We start from the raw sequence: 18569 nt of genomic DNA, 5'->3' as shown, positions 1-18569 counted from the left end.
GCCTTGCTGGGATAGGTCTTACTGATATCTGGGAATCCACTCTGGAAAATTGGGATTCTTTACTGACCAGACTGGAGATCATTTTTCCAAGATCAGAAATGGTTTTTCATCCAAAACTTGCTATGCCTACAACTGTATCTGTTTTTGTACATCAGTGGTTTGTATTCTTGTATCATATTAAGCTTTAAAAGGTAGCCCTCCTGAAGATCATATCATCTACATCTCTTATTTTACCCTTGAGAAAATTGAGAGTCAAAGATGCTGAGTGATTGACCCAAGATTACAAAGCCAGTATATGCCCGAAAAAGGATAGAATGGATTTTCTTGCTTTTTTGTGAAACATTTGACAGATTAATTATTCCCAATGAGCTATCGAACTGACCGCTGCTAATGCTGCAGTCAGTGTGTCATCCACCTTGCATGTAATCACTAAACATAAAATGAAGAGCAGGGAAGAGACGGGGATTTGAGATGAAGAACAAACTCGAGACGTTTTACCTACACACCCCCAGAAATTATACATGCTGATTTTATACAGATAAGATGTGCCCAGGAGCATCCCAATCAAGTTCCATTTTTTGGCAAATCAGTTTGAGCAAATAGATTTTCTGAGGTTTACAATAAACTTCAGTAACTATGAGCCCCCAGCTTCTGTGTTACAAAATAAACACAAGAGAAACTGCCCCCAGCATCCCCCCTCTAATGGATTTTAGTGTTGGCAATTTCTCACCTCTACCTCATTCCATTTTCCCCCCTACCTGTTGCAGTTTTGAAACAACAGTACGATATTTTGGGATGAAGCCAAAGTCTGGTGAGAAGGAGATCACACCCAGCTACGTGTTTATGGTGTGGTATGAGTTCTGCAGTGACTTCAAGACAATTTGGAAACGGGAGAGTAAAAACATATCTAAAGAAAGGTAAGGTTCAAAAAAAGATTTTAATGCCTCCTTCAGGAGCCTAGGAAACTGCACTCTTAAACCTATCAAAGTGTGTCTATTTCACACCTGTCGATGTTTTCTTTCGGATGAAGTGGTCATAGGGGAAGGACTTTTTGCCTCAGGGATCGTAGGGAAATTCGGGGAAAGCTTGCTGTCCACACAGGCAGATATGCTCACATGATCTGATAAGTTACACTTTCTTAACCCCTTCCAATTACTAGCTAGTAAATGAAAGGAGGGTTGTGCTAATTTGCAACAGATTGCTTCTCTGTGTATTTTCATGTTGGCCCAGGCTAAATGAGGCAGCCTTGCTGTCGCAGACAGTATAGACAAATAAAAGTGAATGCTTTTCCCATTAATATACTGAACTTGCATCAAAGGAAAATCTCTGTGACTCAGGCCACACTTCACACAGCGTGGAAGCCCCGCATTGGATTTACAGCGCCACTTCTGACTCCCTGTATCCTGCTGCGGACATCAAACTGCGTGCCGCTCAGCCTCGTTGCAGCCCCCGATTTTATTAGCTGGGGGTAGAAGAAAAACCTCAACTCTGAATATAGACGGGGTGTGTGTGTGTGTGTGTGTGTGTGTGTGTGTGTGTGTGCGTTTTCCTTAGAGAGATTGAATTTGCCCCTATTTATCAGAAAAAAGCATTTCTGCCTGATCATTTTTGTGATTGGGTTGCCACTGTTATGGAAGGGGTGTCATGGATTTAAATTTCAAACAGGTCTTACTACTACTCCTGTGGAACAGATGTATAAGAATGGCATTCAAAACAGAGTGGAAGGAGACAAAAAATTCCTCAGCGTAAGGAAAATGATATATTTCATTATAGCATCTACCTTTTACTAACCTGTGAGGCCTGACATTCCATAATTCAGTATTTTTATTCTTCACTTTGTAATCAAAGAAAAGATATATACATAATATATTTCTAGACACATCACAACCTACCCTAATATATTTCACCTTAAAACACTAGTAAGAGGAGCAAAATTGTGAGATTTTTGACCTAGTATTAGTCTCTAAGTATTTTCTCAGGGAGCTAAAAAAAGAGAAAGGCCTTCTTTCTTTCCAAGGAAGTTAAAGATGTGTTTATCAACACATCTTCCCATCAGTACTTCTTTGGGAACATGGGAATTAAACTGAATATATCCATTATATAGATAAAACTGAAGCAGAGAAAAGTACCATTGTTGAGAAAATAGGTCGTTGATAATAACATGAAAAAAAATCCTAAAAATCTTGGCACCCAACCCATAGTTCTTGCCCTGCCATCACTTATTTAGCCCTTTAAAGTAAGCTAAAATAAGTTTCTGTGGAATCAATTCTCATACGAAAATACTATTCTTAAAACAGCATAGGAGCTGGCCAGTCTGCCCTCCAGGTCCATACACCTTGAGGCTGGGACATCCCACAGTGGGCCTGGAATGTACAGCTTTTGCTTAAGAATTTTTACACCTCAGATTTTGAGCACAGTCCTTAGTATATTTGTCCTTGGGGCCCTAAAAATGGTCTAAAACAAACAAAAGACCAACAGAGAAGGCAATTAATTGCTTTATATGTTAATGATCTTCTGTTGAAATAACTGTATTCCACATTAAAGAGTGTTCTGTATCATAGAAGTTAGATCAAAGAAATTGTGAGTCTGTCATAGAGGTGGTATCCAGAAGTCCTTCAAAATGACAGTATCTCTGATTCCCAGCCACGGGCGTTTGTGGCATTGCTTCCTGGGTGCAGCTGTTGAATTGCCTGCTTCACACTCTGTAAACCAACCCCTTTACAGGGTCATGACCTCACAAGACCCTTTTTGGTTCTTCTCATTTCGCAGTTTCAGGGGACCCTTCATTCCAGCCATGCTCTGTGAGGATGGATCACCAAGGTTTCTACCCTAAAACAACATCTCTGAAAGTTGATGATGGCTAATAAGATATTTCTGGAGGCAGCAGCATGGTTAGGAAAATCTGTGTGTTAAGAAATATTAGCACATTATGTATATTACTCCTCAACCATTTAAACAAACTGCTTGATATCCAGGGTTTTCTTAAAATCCTAAAGTGAGAACTTTGTTAAAGTGTTCTCTGTCTGCTAAAGATTTTAGCTTCTTTCCTGTTAGAATCACACATTCATTATGGTAAAATAAGCAAATTAACTGGAATTTTTCTATTAAATGAGGAACACTATAATTGCTTTGTTTTGACATCTATTTAATGATATTTGATATTATAGTTTCAATTATACTTTCCCCAGAAACCGAATATATCCCAACAACACTAAACATCAGGAGACAACATAACATCATTAACAAGGGCATCCTAAAAAATAAAATTCATAACCAAAATAAAAACCTGATGATGTGTAATTATAAAGAAAAAAACTAGTTTGGGATCTCATCAGAAAAATTCAACTCACTTAATTTTTAAATATATTGGAAGGCCAACTAAGTGCTCAAAATCATTGGAAAAATTAAGAATCAGTACTAGCATTTTCAAAGGGACAGGTTTCATGGAAAACACTGTTTTGTTTAAATTCTACTTCCAAATGAAATGGAAGTGTTGAAAACTACTTAGGCCACTGGAGGTTAATTTTAGGTGGTGGTGAATATTTACTTTTCCTGCTTAGGTAGTTTTCATGAGTACACATTAGTTTGATACAAAATTGAGATGAATGCATCTTCATAACAAGATAACAGCTTCCCCTCATAAAATCCAGAATAATCTGTAACATACAAATGACCACATAAAAATGTCCTAAGTTCTTGTGCCTTGTGAGTGAACAATAATCTTATTAAACTGGTGTCAGGGCACAACTCTGTGGTTCGGCAGAAGGAACAATATTTCACTGGGGAATATGGTTTACCTGGAGATTAACTATATCTTTGGAAGAGTAATCTACTGTGTCGTGGTATATTAATGGCTTTCAATTTTCCTTGGCATTCAAGCCAATCTTAAGCAAAAGAGCAAACTTCTGAGCCCAGGCACAAATCCAAAAGCGCCACTTTCTAGACGTGCAGTCTGTGACCCACTCAGTCATCGTGCTGCCCCTGGTATCAGGACTCATCTTTCAGTGAAGCATCCCAGTCCCTTCTCTTATCCCTTCTGAATATGTGCAGTGCTGAGCAGTGTAAAAAAAGACCTGGAGACAGAGAGCTGAAAACAGGCATTTTTACCCTTCACCCTGCCACCCCCCCACCCCCATTAATTGGCTATGTGATCTTGGGCCAGTCACTTATTCACTGGGAACCCGATTGTCACATCTGTAAAATGTATGTATCAGGATGAAGCAGGAATTAAATGGTGACTATGAGCTCTTCTAGCTCAAAATCTCTATGAATCTAGAAACTGCGGTTCTAATTTTCTGAGGAGCTGTGTGTTTCCCTTCTGCCATAGTGCCCCTCACCTTTGCTCTTGAGCTATAGGTACTATATTGGAAGATATTTCAAGCAAGGACTTGCAGGTGAGTTGGGAGAGAGATTAGGTGCCAGAAAGAATTTTCATTGCCCTCTTGAAATCGGTAAACATCTATAGCTACCTTGCCTCACCTGAACCCCCAGTTCTTCTCATAAAATACTAATGTTGGCCTTTGTTTTGTTTTCTTTTGAGTCATTCAGGCTAGAGTGCCATGACGCAATCATAGCTTACTGCAGCCTTGACCTCCTGGGCTCAAGCAATCCTCCTGCCTTAGCCTACTGAGTAGCTGGGACTACAGGTGTGCATCACCATACCTAGCTAATTTTATTTTTTTATTTTTGTAGAGACGGTGTCTCACTATGTTGCCCAGGCTGGTCTCAAACTCCTGGGCTCAAACAATCCTCCTGCCTTGGCCTCCCAAAGTGCTGGGATTACAGGCATGAGCCACCACGCCTGATCCTAATGTTGTTCTTGAAGATCACGTTTTTTTATGGAGCATGTACACAAAACGTTTTTTTCTCTGCTCATCTGTATCCAACATTGCATTTACGATGTATCATAATCCAAGGTTTATTTTATCCTCAGAAGCAACTTTGCCTCACTTTTACCTTTTAATGCACTTTTGTATTTGTACCTCATGATATCCAAACATTCAATGAATTTTTGGTACACATGTTTCTTCCACCTGTTAAATCAATAGATTATCCAAGTATATGCATAACTGCAAGTAGGTAACCTAATTTTTGCTGATACCTTTATTGGCTATTCTTTACTCTTTTTTATTTTTTATTTTTTATTTTTTTTGGCTGCTGAATTATTCTGGGTGATAGGACCCTTACTTACAAAACATTCCACCATTTAGGATATCCTAAGACTGCCCCCACATATGCCCGCGCATGCACACGAAGCACTGCCTCCCACAAAATGAGCTTTGAATTTGCAAAAGGTACAGAAGGCCTACGGGAGTCATGACTCCAGGAATAAAGTCTGGGCATATAATTCACCCTGAGCCAAAGCAAACTTTAAAAGTGCCATTTAAAAACCCCATAATGGGTAAGTAATGAGTGAATTAGAAGTTTGGTGAATTTTATGTGAAATGAAAATAAGAAATTTCACTACACACATAGCTATAATTTACACCATAGGGGAATGGATAGTTATCTTGTTTTTTTCTTTTGGGGGCGAGGGGGCTGTTTTTTTTATTACCCAGCCACCTACCAATAGGGTTTTTGTTTTAAGTCTATTACTTGCTGCTGTTATGGGTGATTATGGAACTGCTGTACCCTTTACAGAAGATAGTTCAAAGCTGTTGTGAGGCTATCCTGAAAGCTGTTCTCAGAGCTCCCTACTGCTCAGGTCACTTTAGGACCAAGAGCTGGGGACTTAGAGATGCTGTCACTCAATCCACAAGCCACTGACTGCAGTGTAGACACTACAGGAATTCTTTTCTTTACATGATAAACTTACTCCTAGAAAAAGCTCCATAAATAAAATTGTTATTTATTGAATTCTGCTTTCCTACTGACATACATACATGATAATTTCAGTAACTTGTAACATGTTAACTTTCTTTTCCTTGCCCTGTGTTATGTAGTTAAATGACTTGTATTCATTTAACCACTAAAGAGCTGCTTATTTTTAAAAATCCCTTAATAATACAATCACCCCCTAATTAATTGTCAAAACTTTGAATTTTCCTAAATCACATTTGAAAATGGTTCTGTGCAAATACACAAACAGTAAATGCCCCAAGACCTAACTGATAAACAACATTGTCATAATCACAAAGAACAGCCGGGCGTAGTGGCTCATGCCTGTAATCCCAGCACTTTGGGAGGCGGAGGTGGGTGGATGACCTGAGGTCAGGCGTTCAAGATCAGCCTGGCCAACATGGTGAAACCTCATCTCTACTAAAAAATACAAAACTTGGCTGGGTGTGGTGGTGCACACCTGTAATCCCAGCTACTCGGGAGGCTGAGGCAGGAAAATTACTTAAGCCTGGGAGGCGAAGGTTGCAGTGAGCCGAGATCGCGCCACTGCACTCCAGCCTGGGCAACAGAGTGAGACTGTCTTTAAAAAAAAAAGAAAAGAAAAAAAGAAATCACAAATAATAAAAACTGCTTATTCCCCAAGCAATAAATTTAAAACTACATCTGCAAAATTAAAAATATGCCATGAATAAGGAGAGAGGATAAACTAAAAAACTGTAAGAATTATAGGATCATTGGTTTAAAAAACTATACACACCTCTTGGCCCTCTCTCTGAAAGCATCATTCCGTCTCCTTTTCCCTTCTAACTTCTTTTAAAAGAATGATTTACGTTCATTTCCTTATTTCCTTTTTCGTACCACACACTCCTTCCTGTCTCAGTAAGGATAACGTCTTGGCTGCCATAACAGAGGCCAAAATAACTGTTGCTTAAACAAAGGAAAAATCAATTTTCCTCATGTATAACAATCTGAATGCAAGGAGTTTGGATGTCAGGAACCCAGTTTTCTTCTCTTTTGTGGTTGCCGTCCTTAAGGTAAGGTCCTTATTCCCAACGTGTAAGGGGGCACACGTCAGGTCTACTGCTACCATTGCTGCTGAGTTCCTGCCAGTGGGAAGGGGACTGCACAACCTTTCCTTTTAATATTAAATAGCATGAGCTGGAAGGTGCACACATCACTTCCACTTTATCCCATTGGACAGAACTTAGTCTCATGGCCATACACAAGGGAGACCAGGAAATGTAGGCTTAGCTGGGAGCCATGTCCCTGCTAAAGACTCATGGTTTCCTTTACTAAAGGAAGCAGGAGAACTGCATATTGAGATTGTTACTAGACTGTGTCACATTTCCTAACTGAAATCAGATGACTCCTTCTAACTAATTCTTTGCCACTGCTAGTTTTTTTGGGTTTTTTTTGTTTGTTTGTTTTATTTTGTTTTGAGACAGAGTCTTGCTCTGTCGCCCAGGCTGGAGTGCAGTGGCGCGATTTCGGCTCACTACAAGCTCCACCTTCCGGGTTCATGCCATTCTCCTGCCTCAGCCTCCCAAGTAGCTGGGACTACAGGCGTCTGCCACCACGCCCGGCTAATTTTTTTTTTTTTTTTTTTTGGTAGAGACTGGGTTTCACTGTGTTAGCCAGGATGGTCTCAATCTCCTGACCTCGTGATCTGCCCGCCTCGGCCTCCCAAAGTGTGCCACTGCTAGTTTTTGACACCAATGGTAGTTTCCTCCATCTCGAAATGCCTCGTTGCTCTGATAATATATTGGGTCTCTCTGCGAAGGTGACTACTCCCCTTCTTCATCTCCCTCCTTAGTTCCTCTGTTTCTTCTGTTCCTTAAGTGTGGGCCTTCCCCAAGGTAAATCTCAGTGTTCCTCTTTTCTGCTCTATTCTCTGTTTTGTTAGTCCCAACTATTTTCACAGCTTCACCTATCACCTCATTGCCAAGGCCTCCCAAGTTTTAGACCTACATTTCCTACTGCACATTAAACTGTATACCCAGCCTTCATCTGCAATTCAATATGTCTCGGTTGGAAATTATTCCATCTCAACTAAGGCCTATTCCTCTTAGGCTCCCTAACTTTCAATTGCAACACTATCCTCCTCCTATTAGCAAAAGGCAGGCTGGAATGAGAATTATTTTTACTGCTACAAGATTTATTTTTCATCTATTTCTGACTCTTTATAGTTTTGCCCCCTTAATGGTGATTGTTCTTTACCCTGTATTTGAGGTGTCTCTGCTCTGATTCAGGACTCTATCATCTCTCACTTGGATTATTGAAACATCCTTCTAACTCTTCTCTCTGCCTAGAGGTTTTCTATTTCCTCTTGAAGTGTCCCTGAATATTGCATCCAATTATCTTTCCAAAACAGAATTTAGATCATAGTTATCTCTTTAAACATATTCTGTGGTTTTCCATTGCTCATGAAATAAAGGAAAGATAATTAGCCATGGATGGTACTTTAATTTATTAATGTATTAAGTTGTCACAACAGCCCTGAAGGAAAAAAAAAAAAGGTTTATTGCTATTTCACAGCTAAGCATGAGAGAGTAAATGAATTTTCAATGTCATAGTTTCATTAATAAACAGAATGAGGATAAGAACCTAGGTCTTTTTTTTTTTTTTTACACTAAAGCTTGAGTTCTTTCAAGAACTTCATATTCTCTCCCAAATTATAGCATGGCCCTCTGAGAACCTGCCCTAAACTCACTCTTTAGCCTCATTTCCTATAGCCTCATCCCTCCCTGCACCTACTATGACCACTCACTGTCTCACACCTGCACTTTCTTTCCTTGTGTTCTCACTGGATAATTTCTTCATACCGCATTCCCCCCATTATTTCCTGCTGATCAAAATAGAGTCGTCTTTCAAGGGCTGCCTCCAGAAACCAGGTTCTGTAGAAATGTTCTGAAATCTCCCTTAATAAAAGAATTAGCTTTTCCTGTGGGCTCTGACAGCATTTTCTTCTTACGATCCTTTAGTATTTAATTCATTCCAACTTGTTATTTTAGCAGTTTATGTGTATCTTTCCACTTCTAGGACACAAGCCTGTTCTTTGCTGTGTCTTGTATGGTGCATTCTCCAGCGCACAGCTGGATATTGAAAGAGCATTGAAGATCTTGGCTGGTGTAAGAGTTTGGAGGAAGAAATGATCCAAAGGAAATGTGGAAGCTACAGGGAGCTTTGAGAAGACACTTAGCCATAATCAGGACCACCCTAAGCAGATAGTTTTAGAGGAGATTCAGAAGCCAGTAGGGCAGTGTTAGAGATCAGCAGCTCCCAAACCTGGCAGATCTCCCAAGTCACCTGGAGGTCATTGTAAAAATGTAAACAGATCCACTGAATCAGAATACCAGAGTGTAGAGTCTAGAAATCTGTGGTTTTAGAAACTCCCCACAGAGATGGCAGAGCAAGAACACATTTTGTGTTTAGTTTCCTTAATAAATGCCTTGGCTTCACCATCCTCTTGTTTACATGTACCAGGTAGGCTTTGGAGATCAGAGATTGACACCTTCCTAGTGATCCTTCAGCCAAGTTTAGAAACTCCTGGGCTCAGGTGATCTTGCAGTTCTCTTCCAACCCTGACTTCCTGTGATTTTAAGTAGAAAATGAGCTGGGCATTGACAGCAGATGAATTTGGCTACATAGACATAAAGAGGCGGACCTGGGTGACTGAACATGCGTTTGGAGGAATCATGCAGTGTTATTCCTGGGATCAGCCTAACTGCCTTCTTTTCTGTGCTTCCTCCTTTGAGTGCTTGGTCTACTCCAGTCTCTTGTGTATTTGCACATTCCTATAATATAAATTTGCAGCACTTAATTTAAACACGTAGAATCGTGTCACTTAACTAGCGGGATACATTGTGAGAAACGCATTGTTAGGTGATTTCATCATTGTGCGAACATTATAGAGTGTACTTACACAAACCTAGATGGTGTAGCCTACTTCACACCTAGGCTGTATGGCATAACCTAGTGTTCTTAGGCTGCAAACCTGTACGGCAGGTTACTGTACTGAATATAATTGTAACACAATGGTATTTGTGTATCTAAACATATCTAAACACAGAAAAGGTACAGTAAAAATACAGTATAAAAGATAGAAAATGGTACACCTGTGTAGGGCGCTTAACCATGAATGGAGGTTGCAGGATTGGAAATTGCTCTGGGTGAGTCAGTGAGTCAGTGGTGGGTGAATCTGAAGGCCTAGAATATTACTGTACCCTTCTGTAGATGTTATAAACACTGTACATTTAGGCTACACTAAATTTATTTTTATAATAAAGTAGTTGTGCCACAACATTATGGTGGCTATGACTTCACTAGGCAATAGGAATTTTTGAGCTCCATTATAACCTTATGGGACCACCATCATATATGAGGTCTGTCTTTGACCGAAATGTCATTATGCAGTGTGTGACTCTACTTTAAAACTACTATAATATTTACATAATGGTATAATCTAAAAATATTATGTCTCAAGTGATATACAGACTATGAAACTATTCTGGAAAAATTTATTGATCACATACGGTGTCCTTCATGAAGCTTTCTCCAATCTGTGTGAGCTATCGTATCTCCAGAATTTTGGGGGTTTACTGTATCTTCAGTTTTGTCATTTAATGATTTGGTTTTTTATTCATTTGGTTATAGGCACTTTCTCTTTTAGATAAATCATAGGCCCCTAGAAGATAATTACAATGTCTTGTACCACTTTGTTTTCTCTGTAGCACCTTGTTTTTCCATATATATAGTAGATGCTGAGTTAGTATTTGTTGAACAAATAAATAATCATTGTGTTTCCTTTTGCCATGTTGAAATTGATTGCAAGATTTGCTGTCTGCTGCTGATAGATGAAAAATCTTGTTTATTTGGGTTTTGGTGGTAGAAGTCCCTAAATGTATCCCATATGGGTTGCTTTTGCCCAAGAATCTAAAATCTTAATAGCTTTGTTAAAGAGAATAGACATGTTCAGAACAAGAAAGATTAGTTAATGGAATAAAACAATCGCCAGCTCTGTTCTTGACTGTATTACTTTCAGTTTGTTTAGAAAAAAAGAAGGAAGTGGAGATCCTTTGGATTCATGGCTATGCCAAGCCTCAAACCTCTTTGGAGCTCAAATCAAAACCTTAGAGAGCATCTGTCCGCACTCCATTTCCCTAGCTTGGCAGAGAACAATGGAAACCTAAAGTATGTCTCCTTCATTCAGCCTAGAATATTTCTAAATTACTTATCTGTGGGACTCCTGACAGCTCCTGCCTTGGGCAGAGATGCAACAGGGGGCTGCCTGGGTAGAATGATTTGAGGGGCGCCAGAGAGACTCCTTACTCCAGACAATCTTCCCTGTTTCCTCACCCTTTTGTTCCAGTCACCCATGCAAACAGGCTCTCAGTGCTAGTTTTTGGTGAGACTCAGTAGGTGGTAGAGGTTTCAAAACCAAAAGGGGGAGCTTGCATCTGCTAGCACATGCATGTCTTCATTATCGGGATTGGAAATGTCTTCCAAAGACTAATGCATTTCAATTAAATTTGCAAATTTATGACACAGGGCTGATTTCAGTTTTCAAACTGTCTCCCAGACTACTCTCCCTAAATGAGGAAATGAATGCGATGCTGTTACCTTTCACTCTGCACCTAAATCGCCGGGTCGGCTCTGGGTGTTATGTCTACTAAGTGCAGAGTGATTGGCTTTAACTGATCATGCATTCCAGGGCAAGTCCAGGGCTCCCCAACTTCAACTCCCCTGTGTCCTGGGGGAGAAGCTCTGCAAACGGAAGAGGACTTTGTTCTGCAATTAATCACTTGAAGTCAAAGTATGTTTGGGTATACAAGTGATAGCTCACAAAAACTATGAAGTGGCTGATCTGTGTAGCTGGTGAAATGCATGCAGTCTCTAAGAGAAGTTTTTTACTTTTAAATAGGAAAATATCTTAGGAATAGAGTAGGGAAAATTGTCAGATTTAGATTTGACAAAGTACACAATTGGACAAAGTAGAAGTGATATGCTAATTTATCATGGAATAACTTTTTTTTTTTAAGAGACAAGGTCTCATTCTTTTGCCCAGGCTAGAATGCAGTGGTGTCATCATAGTAACCTCCAATTCCTGGGATCAAGTGATCCTCCTGCCTCAGCCTCCTGACTAGTTAGGACTACAGACACACATCATCATGCCCAACTCATTTTTTAAAAAGCATTTTTTAGTTGAGAGGGTCTTGCTGTGTTGCCCAGGCTGGCCTTGAACTCCTAGCCTCAAGCAGTCCTGCCTCAGCCTCCCAAAGCACTGGAATTACAGGTGTGAGCCACCATGCCCAACTGGAATAACTTTTAAAGGCTAAATTCTGGTGTGTTAGGAGCTAAGCCTAAGATTACTTTCTGCTGGTATTCTTACTTTCCTGCTGGTCTGTTTTATCATGGCTGCTAGTGAAACTGACCTGGGAGGCACAGGAGGTGGTCGGTGCCAGAGCGGTCAGGGCCGAAGGTCAGACTCTGAAGAGAAAATGAGCATGGAAGAGTGTGTCTGTCTAAGTATGTGGCCTTGTTGGCCTGCCTGGGATAAATGAACTTGGGGTTACCCATTCTTTCTTACTGTTTATGGCTCTTTTCTCTTAGTTTTATTTTTCTACCCTTTGGAAACATTCCACATAGCCTAGTCAATGATGTTTTCATCAGCTGCTGCAGCAAGGAAAAAATTTCCCTTTAAATTGAGAAATTAATGAGTTTGTTGTTGTTTTTTTCTTACAGTAGGGAGTGACTTTACTTATTTCATTGACTTTTATAGCAGTTAACCTCGTGCGATAGTTATGTCAGGAATTCAGAAATGCCTCGTGAGTGACTGTTGTCAAGATGGATAGAAATGAGAGTGGTCCTCACAGCCCTGGTCAGGTCTCTACGATCTCACTTATTTAGAATCAAAGTTGGACATTAGCCCGTTTTCGCCTGGAGAAACAATTTCGCTCTGGGAACTGGGGGCTGTACCTTGTATAGACTCGAGTAGTATCAAAAGACCTGAACAAACTATATAGAGTGGACAGAGCCTTACTTCTGATGTTCAGGCCACCAGGCAGTGGTTGGAGGGATGGCTGGACACAGCCATATCCCTCTGAAAGCATATTTAAAACAGCCCTTATGGCGTTAATACCATCTATGTTTCAGGTAAGCCTAATGAGAAAAAGATCAAAACGTTGCCCTCAATCTTCTCTATTCAAAATGCCATAAACCATGTGATATTGAGCTTTCTGAGGCAAGGAAGCCATTTCCCTGATGCCCCAAAGTCTATATGTTATTCCTTGTGCCTTGGCCTGATGTGACTTAGTTCAAAGCTGCAAGGAGATCATGGCAAAGGAGTGAATATTCACTCCTTTTTGTATTTCATCCTTGAAGCTCTATATACCCCTTTTCTGACTTTTTCTTCTGAAGGGAGACCATAAGAGTGTCATTATTTGCTCATAGAAGCTGTCCCTGATAATGACTGGTAGAGCAAAGCTATATTGGGTAGTCAGACTGGTGAGTCATTTATTTTACAGGTGTGATCTACAGTGAGGGCCAATACCTTTTTTATACCACGGAAACCTTATTCACCATTCCAAAGGACCATAGGCCAGAATTGACTGAGCCAGTGGTAAAAATGTGTTTTTTGCATGTTCCTTTGTTTATCATGTTCGTCCATGTATTTCTGAACAGTCATGAGAATGAAGAGCTCTTGCATTTATTAGAGAGATTCTGAACTCCTGTCTTTACATTTAGGGTAAGTCCAGTGGTGCAGCAGCTTGGACCTTCAGTTTTTATCATCCTACTTTTTAGGGAACGTGGACATTTCCTGTGGCATGCTGACTTAAAGGCACATTACCTGTTGGCACACAGAGCATACCGTATCCATTTTTTAGACCATTTTTATCTTCTTTCTTTAGCAACGAGTGATATTAAAATCTTTTTTTAAAGAGATTCATATTATAGCTGGTCAGATCTCATGTGTTTCCCAAGATGCCTTTCATGAACCATATTCCCTCAATGTGTCTCTTTTCTTTGCCTTTGTCTGCCAATATTTCCAAAGCCATTAACTTTTAATGGCTTGGATCAAGAAACATACATGATCTGAGTCGAGCGGTGATTAATTTTAGTCACACTGTACTAGGTAGCTGGTAGGGCTTTCTTTTTAAAGCTAGTAGCATTAGAGGCCAAAAGTTTATTCCTCTGCTCCTGAAGTCACTTCTTGGTCCTGTTGTCTACAATACAAAAGCAAGTAATGTATTAACAAAAATGCCCTGATAGTATTACCAGATTGTATTTTCTGTACTGACTGAAATGAACCAATCATATTATTTAGGAGAATTTCTAACATATCACCCATAGGTGTTTAAAAGATAACGCTAATTTTCAGGGGCCAGTTACCTATTTTTAAACACTAAAATTAATTCCATAGGTTAGAGTGTAAACCCAAACCTGAACCATGATTTGAGACCTGTTGTGTCCAGACGCCAGTCATCAGCCTAAATTCCTTTTTTTCATTATAAATATAACTTAGCCTTTGTCTGGGCTTGATGGCTTACACCTGTAATCCTAATACTTTGGGAGGCTGAGGCAGGTGGATTGCTTGAGTTCAGGAGTTTGAGACCAGCCTGGGCAACATGGTGAAACCTCATCTCTACAAAAAAAAAAAAAAAAAAATATATATATATATATATACACACACACACACACACACACACACACACACACACACACGTACGTATACACACACACACACACACCCCTAGCATCATACTTAAGAGTTACTCAAAAGTTAACAGGTTGACAGTCTTGTTACAGTTCACACAGATACGTTGAATGGGAAAGAAAGGAAACGAGGATGAGCAGATGAACCCCCCTCCAAAAAAAGTTAATTGCAGTCACAGAATTAAGTTGGGAGAAGCCATAGGCAAGGTGTAATAAGATAGCTCTATTTAATTTTCATTCTGAAGCTATTAAAAGCAAAGGAGGCAAATAGACATTGGAAAGTTGCATAGGGCAGAAATCAGGGAACTCAAGCAAAATTCCAGAAAAGACCATAAATAAAATGAATCATAATGAAATGTGAGGCAATCTCTGCCTTTATGAGAGGGAAATAAATGGGTGCCCCACTTATTTCCACAGTCTGGTTCATCTGGATCTGTCCCCACTGTGCCTGTCTGTATTTGCCAGACACTGGTGATCTCACAGGCTTAGAACTTACCTGGAAAGTAATAAGCAGAAGAGAGTGGGAAAGCTGGCCATGTTGTGATTTTTGTAGATTTGATGTTTTACTGGAGCCCAAAATCTGAAATCTTGTGGTTATGGCTGTCAGAAGAATCATCCCCTTGGTCTTCTTAAATCAGTTGTCTACCTCTAAGATATTCATAGACAGTTCTTTAGGAAGAAGCTTTCTGTTGGCTTCTGTTGTCTTTCTCCTGAAGAGGAAGGTTTGTTTTGTTTTGTTTTGTTTTGTTTTGTTTTTCCCCCTAGGAGCTTCAAAAAGTTCTGTTAAAAAAAAAAAAGCAGACCTCTTTTTGTCTAAAAACATACATAAATCATCAATGTATAAAACAAAGTAAAGCTTTTCTAACTGAAGCAGAGCTTGCCAACATTGGCATCTGGAGGATCCCCTAATTCTGCCTCTTCTCCCTGAAACACCTTTGCTGAAGGTTAAAGCTCTTTGAAAAATAGTTTACAAACACTGCTCCAAACTATTGGATTTTCCAATAGTGAAAAGGAGTGTAAAGCAGCCTGAACACTCTTATCTGCCCCATTTCCTCCATATCTCATTTATCTCTTGATTGGCTGGTGTGCTCAATCCCTGTGGTCAAAAATAAAAGCACTTCTGTTATTACAAACTTCATAATGATTTCAGTATCTTCTGCCTTGTACAACACAAACCAGTGAAATACTGAATGTCAAAAGAATAAAGACTTGGTACTTCCTCAGTCTCACAGATGGCTAGATTCTGAAAATTGACTTGATTTAGCTGCAGCTGTATGCCTCTAACCTGTAGAAAGCCCACAGTATGCCCATAGGCTTTCCCAAAAGATGAGGCTATAACAGTGGGGAGCCTAAATCTCTAAATGGAAAGCCACGCCACTTCAACTATTTTTTTTTTTTTTTTTTTTTTTTTTTTTTTTTTTTTTTTGAAACAGAGTCTCGCTCTGTCGCCCAGGCTGGAGTGCAGTGGCACAATCTCAGCTCACTGCAAGCTCCCCCGACCCCGGGTTCACGCCATTCTCCTGCCTCAGCCTCCTGAGTAGCTGGGACTACAGGCGCCCACCACCACATCTGGCTAATTTTTTGTATTTTTAGTCGAGATGGGGATTCACTGTGTTAGCCAGGATGGTTTCGATCTGACTTCATGATCCACTCACCTCGGCCTCCCAAAGTGCTGGGATTACAGGCGTGAGCCACCACACCCGGCCAGGTTACAGTCAACTTCTACAGAGTCAAGACTAGGCAAGAACATCAGAGGACATGACTCACTTTCCCATCTTACACTTGTGTCTTTCCTCAGTAGTCTTTGGCAGCACTTGGTATTTACTGGGGCTCCCAATAACTCCTTAGGGAGCATATGCATGATAATGAGAAAGAGGAAAAGATAAAGTTTTCAAAAATTTTACTGAGACGTTTATCAATTGAGAATATATATTTTCTTTCTCTGATATGTTTGTTTGTTTCCTATATTTCCAAATTCTTTTGTAAGGATTGCCATATAACCTTTATTTTTTTTTGTTTTTATCAATTCAGGAGGTACATGGATTTGTGCAGGTTTGTTACACGGATGTATTTCATAGTGGCAGGGTTTGGGCTTCTACTGTATCCATCACCTGAAGAGTGAACCTTGTACCCAGTAGATTATTTGTTGACCCTCACTGTCTTCCCCACTCTCCCCACCCCCAGCGTCTGTTATTTCCCTCTATATGTCCATGTGTAACCACTGTTTAGCTCCCACTTATAAGTGAGACCATGCAGTATTTGATTTTCTCTTTCTGAGTTATTTCACTTAGGATAATGATCTGCAGCTCCATCTATGTTGCTGCAATGGACGTGATTTCATTCTTTTTATGACTGCATAGTATTTCATGGTGTATGTGATCCACATTTTCTTTGTCCAGTCATCTACTGATGGACATTAGAGCCAACATTTAGGCCAGAAACAAAAACAAGTCCACAAACAATGAGGAGGTTGAGCGTGTATGCAGCTAGAAACTGTCTAACCAGCAAATTTTCTTTGATTAAATGCAAAAAGCCCTTACCTCCTAAGTGGGAGAAATAAATTCCAGACTTGGGACAAAGTCACATAACCTCACTGAGTCTTAGTCTCCTTGTGGGCAAAGTAATGTGGATACTTTTAAGTATCTTGGAATCTATACATAAGATGACACGTGTAAATATTTAGCACATTTGGGTGGCCTTGAGTATCTTTTCTTTTTCCTTGTTTAAGACTTAATCAGCTAATCAGTAACTGGAACTACACTTCTAAATGTTTTTATAGTTTTTTCCCAAGGATAAATGCAAAAAGCAATCATTTTATAACTATTTACTAAACATTTAAATTGTTTAAGTCAGAAAAACAAAAGTTATCAATGCATGTCATTTGTCACGTAGATACTAAGAACTGACTTGAGCATGGTACAGTGCTGGGTAAAGGAACAAGGAGAGGTCCCAAATATGGATAAATCCTGCTCGTTGTCCCTAAGTCATTCCAATGGTTTAAGAAAAATAAGACACCTACTCAGTTCTAAGATGAAATGCCTTAAGTACCTTAAGAGAGGCACAAAGTGCTTTGTCATTTAAGAAAAGAGCAATTACTTCTGGCTAAGAGAGATGAAGGAAGCTTTCATGACTTTGACACTTAAGCTGTAAATAGAAGAATGGGAAGAATTTGCATGCATGGAAATGACTCAGACCGTCATTGAGGGAACAGTAAAAGCAAGATGCAAAGGTGAGAAAAAGCCATGTACAAAGAATGTAAGTCGTTTGGGTGGGTCATGGAACACGTGGAGTGAGGTGAAGGAAAAGATGCTTGATCAGTAATCACATATAGTATTTTCTTTAATTTTTATAGCAACAATGTTATTAGGTGTGGTATTATTCACACTTTAAAGAGATGAGGAAATTGAGGTTTGGGGGTTACATGACTTATCCAAGGATACTCAGCTAATTAAACCAGCATACTACGAATACAACAACAGATCTGGGTCTGAAAAGGTAAGATAAGTAAACTGGGTTTATAGCAGGGAGATTGTATTGCCAGTCCAAAAGCATAAGATTTTGAATCCTATGATACAGTCCAGGAATTGGCAGACTACAGCCTATGAGCCGGATCTGGCCCACTACCAGTATTTGTCAATAAAATCTATCAGAACATAGCATAGCCCGGTCGTTGATGCATTTTTCAGATGGCTGCTTTCCCACTGCAACAGTAGAATTAATTTATTGTCCAGTGCACAAGTAAGAATGTTGAATTCATTGTAACTAACGTGTGCATGTGGGCAGGGAGATGGGATTACTAAATGTGTGTTTTAAGCAAATTGTATAACATTAGCTAAATAAAGAGCTAAGCTACTCAGCCACTTACAGATGCCAACAAGTATGTGATTAATATTAAGTAAGATATTTTTATTTGAAGCATGGAAGAAAAAGCATATTTTTTAAATGTCTGAGTTGATAGATCTTTAAGTATTTACTATTTTGAAGATTTTTTGAAGAAATTTTAAAAATAAAAATATAAA

The 18569-nt window shown here is 39.5% G+C and overlaps 1 protein-coding gene and 1 long non-coding RNA gene across 12 annotated transcripts in view, besides 1 other annotated feature; one reads left to right on the top strand and one right to left on the bottom strand.

The window, feature by feature from the left end:
- The window catches only part of LOC107984089 (uncharacterized), a 36512-nt gene extending 21269 nt beyond the window's left edge, over positions 1-15243 (bottom strand). For both annotated transcript variants that reach the window (XR_002957769.2, XR_002957770.2), the window contains exon 1: positions 15047-15243. This is a non-coding gene — a long non-coding RNA (uncharacterized LOC107984089). The remainder of the gene's footprint in view (positions 1-15046) is intronic.
- FMN1 (formin 1) overlaps positions 1-18569 on the top strand; it is a 429171-nt gene that overhangs the window by 394994 nt on the left and 15608 nt on the right. For all 10 annotated transcript variants that reach the window (XM_011521509.4, NM_001277313.2, XM_011521504.4 and 7 more), the window contains one exon: positions 768-917. In XM_011521509.4, coding sequence (XP_011519811.1) covers positions 768-917 — 150 coding nt within the window. The remainder of the gene's footprint in view (positions 1-767; positions 918-18569) is intronic.
- Positions 17400-17963: an enhancer, noted in NCBI's record as "OCT4-NANOG hESC enhancer chr15:33073959-33074522 (GRCh37/hg19 assembly coordinates)". NCBI's record gives its function as "activates a minimal SCP1, AML or CMV promoter by ChIP-STARR-seq in naive and primed H9 embryonic stem cells {active_cell/tissue: H9 hESC(naive and primed)}" and the evidence as "EXISTENCE:reporter gene assay evidence [ECO:0000049][PMID:30033119]".

The sequence above is a fragment of the Homo sapiens genome, chromosome 15, assembly GCF_000001405.40.
Source record: "Homo sapiens chromosome 15, GRCh38.p14 Primary Assembly".
Lineage (NCBI taxonomy): Eukaryota > Metazoa > Chordata > Mammalia > Primates > Hominidae > Homo > Homo sapiens.
This window is presented reverse-complemented; position numbering and strand designations above follow the sequence as displayed.